This window comes from Homo sapiens, chromosome X (assembly GCF_000001405.40).
Source record: "Homo sapiens chromosome X, GRCh38.p14 Primary Assembly".
Lineage (NCBI taxonomy): Eukaryota > Metazoa > Chordata > Mammalia > Primates > Hominidae > Homo > Homo sapiens.
The window spans coordinates 68,644,101-68,647,665 of NC_000023.11; the positions used below are offsets into that span (position 1 = coordinate 68,644,101).

Sequence of the window (3,565 nt, forward strand, 5' to 3'; positions counted from 1 at the left end):
GCTTGATGTGCTAGCCTCCCTGCTTGCCTGTGCACAGTTGCCCAGCCCCTCTGGGTTCCAGCTACGCTGAATGATACACTCTCCATATCCGCCACCCAAAGAAAGCAGATTTCATTACTGCTATGCCAGTTGTGTCAGGCCTTGAGTGTGAGGCAAGGGAGAACCTGCCTGATTCAGATCCCCCATGGGGTATATGGGGAAGAGGGATATGAGGAGGGAGGACTTGTGTTAACTGAGAGAACCCACTTCACATCAGGTCCTGCATGTTCCTTCTTCCTTTTTTTTTTTTTTGTTTCTTTTTTCTTTTTTTTTTTAGACATTTGAGACGGAGTTTCGCTCTTGTCGTCCAGGCTGTAGTGCAATGGCGTGATCTCGGCTCACTGCAACCTCCGCCTCCTGGGTTCAAGCGATTCTCCTGCCTCAGCCTCCTGAGTAGCTGGGATTACAGGCATCCACCACCATGCCCAGCTAATTTTTTGTATTTTTAGTAGAGACAGGGTTTCACCATATTAATCAGGCTGGTCTCGAACTCCTGACCTCAGGTGATCTGCCCATCTCGGCCTCCCAAAGTGCTGGGATTATAGGCGTGAGCCACCGCGCCGGGCCTGTTCCTTCTTTCTTAATGACAAACCTGGGAGGTGAGTAGAGATCTTTATCCTTATTCTCCTATTATAGCCATGGAAACCAAAGGTCCCAGAGGTAATGTGACTTGTCTAAGGTGGTTATGCAACCAAAAAAGTAGCTGGGCTTGGATCTAAAGTCATATCTAATAATGTCAAATCAATGCTCCTTCTGCTTTACCAGAAGCAGGGAGAGCCAGGAGCGTTCAGGACAAGACGAGAGAGGAAGGGAGCTAACATTTATTGAACATTTACTATGTGCCAAGCATATGTTATCTCATTAACTCCTAACAGCAGTCCCCTTATGTAAGCAGTGACTCTCAGTTTACAGATGAGGAAACAGGCTTAGGGAAGGGAAGTGGCTTTTGTAAGGGTACACTGTTAGGAGGTAGCAGAACCAGGATTCAAATCTAAGTCTGTCTGGCTCCAAAGCCTCTGCTTCTTCAATAATACCAAATGAGATTTATTTTTATTTGTTAATTGTTTATTTATGATGAGACACCATTTCTTAACCCACATATTCATATTTCATAGTTCAGGAACACAGGTCTGTGACCAACTTCTATGTAATTCAACCCAAAGAAATTCTTTATATTCCAAAATCACTTTGTACTCTGAAATGTACCAACCTTCCTCATCTCCTCAAAATCTTTTATGGAATCATAATTTCTGTAAAAATCTGCACATGCCTTCTTCCTTGGTTTGGTCAGAGCAAACATAGAGAGCTGCAACCCTCAGGGAAGCAACAAATGCTCCAATAATATGAAACCCATGTGTCTGAGGTTTCATCAAAGCACTGGAAGCCATGGTAGTTATTATCCTTGATAGGTATGTCAACCTCAACACCAATATCCTTCCTGGCTGATGGAGAATGAGCCACAAATAACATATATTGAGAACGTACTTTATGCCAGACACTATACTACATGCTTTAATTCATTCTGTTTAAACCTCCCAAAGGAAGTAGGTACTATTATTATTCCCCATTTTACGGATGGGCACACTAAGGCAGTAACAGGCCCAAGGTCACCAGTTAAAGAGTAACAGAACTAGTATTGAATCCAGGCAGTCAACTTCCGAGTTCATGGCTTAAAACCACCTCAAGACAAAACTGGTGTGAGAGACCCAGAATTGAAACTGAAGTCTCCTGGTTTCTTAGCTTAATGTGGTGTGCTGCGCACTAATGCCTCCTGAATGAATGCCCAAAGGCACGGCTGACACATCTCCTCCCAGGGGCTGGAATGGAAAGAAGGAGGTGAACTCCAGAGAGTGAAAGACTATGAGGCCATCCTAGGAGGGCAGGCAGCTTTTCCTGTAATAGTTGCTTCCCAGTTCTCCATCCTCAGGTCTCTGGCTGCAGGGCAGGAGGGCATATGCTCAAAGGAGAAAACTCTCTCTGGGCTCTGACTCCTCGTGTTATTCCTCCCCCACATGCAGAGGGCTTCCCCTTATAAGCCTGTGCTCAGCTGGACGTGGGTTGGAAGCCACTTACCTTGGCTCTTGCTGACCATCTTCCCGACACAGCCCAACAGAACTCACATCTGAGACACCCCTGAGGTCGGAGCTAGAGAGAGGGTGAGGTCAGTGATTGCAGCCTCCTTGGTACAAACGAGGAAACTGAGGGTCACAGAGTAAGTTGTAAACAGAGCTGGGGGGACCCTCACAGAGCCTCTGGACAAACCTCCGGACAAAGCCACTGATGAAGAAAGTCCCCGAAGGCAGGTAGAGGCTTGCTTAAAGCAACCTAGGACCTTCCAGGGTCCCAGGACCTGGCTGTTTGCCTGACTAGCTTGGGTCTCTGAAACAGAAGTGAGGCCAGGGAGAGTTAGTTATTCTGGGCCTCATGATGACATGTGCCTCCAGAGACCCAAGCCTGGCCTTTTGCCATGGGGTCCCTGGGAGCCTTCTGGCTACCAGCCATGGCACCCTGCCTTCTGATGTCTGGGGAGGGGCTGAGAGAGGGGGAGGGTCACTGCTTCTTAATGGCTTTCTGCCCAGAAAGCCTCTAGAACTGCCTGCTGCTGACTTTCTTTCCTTTCAGGGCATCCAGAGGGTTCAAGTTTAGATTTCAGGCTAAACTTCTGGGCTTAGAGGGTCCTGAGCATGGGACTGGATAAAGGAGGGAAGCCATCATCTCTTCAGAAGATGTTCAGAAAAGGGCATACACCCAGTCTATCTGAGCTGGGAGAGAGCTGCTGTTATGCCCTGGGGCAGGGGGATGGATGAAATGGCATTTGAGGGCTCAGATTCTCTTTGGGGCAAGACCTGACTTCCTATGGACTCCCAGGAGCAGCAGGGGAGTTCTGAGAGGAACTGTGATTGTCCAGAGTGGAGTTTCTTTGAGACTTGCCCTGTACCTAACCCCAAACAGATTTGATACTTAGAGACCTCTAACCCGGCATCTCATTGTACAGCTGGGAAAACTGAGACCCAGGAGGAAGGGGCCTCTCCGAGATGCCACAGTGAGTCAAGAGTCCTCACTTCAGAGGGCTGGAGAATAATCTACTGAGGCAGGGCCAGGGCACCTGTCTGAGAGGGGCTTCTAAGGCTGCAAGCTTTTCCCCTTCCGTGGACTGCATTCACACCTTGTTCGGTCCTGCTGGGGCCGGGGCTCTCCTTCCTTGCCCCTTTTCCTTGGCACTCTTTCCACAGGCCCTGTGTGGTCTGGGCTCTACCGAGAGGTCCCCAAGGAGAGCTGGCGTGTCAGTCAGCCAAGAAGCAAGCAGGCAGGCAATGCCAGCATGCAGGTGGCGGGGCTGGCAGGGGAGCCGGCAGGAGGGCCGGACACCCGGAGCCGGGGAACTGTAATGTTCAGGGAATTTCAATTGGCATTGCTGTCCCGTTCCAGCCAACTGGCTAACGGTGCCGAGTTTGAATCAGTGACCCGCCTCCTGGTCCCTCCTCCTTAGCCGGCCTCTCTCCCTCCCTCCTTTTTTCCCTCCCTC

At 49.5% G+C, this 3,565-nt stretch overlaps 1 pseudogene; it reads right to left on the reverse strand.

Moving 5' to 3' along the window:
- On the reverse strand, nucleotides 1,226–1,427 carry COX6CP12 (cytochrome c oxidase subunit 6C pseudogene 12; annotated as a pseudogene).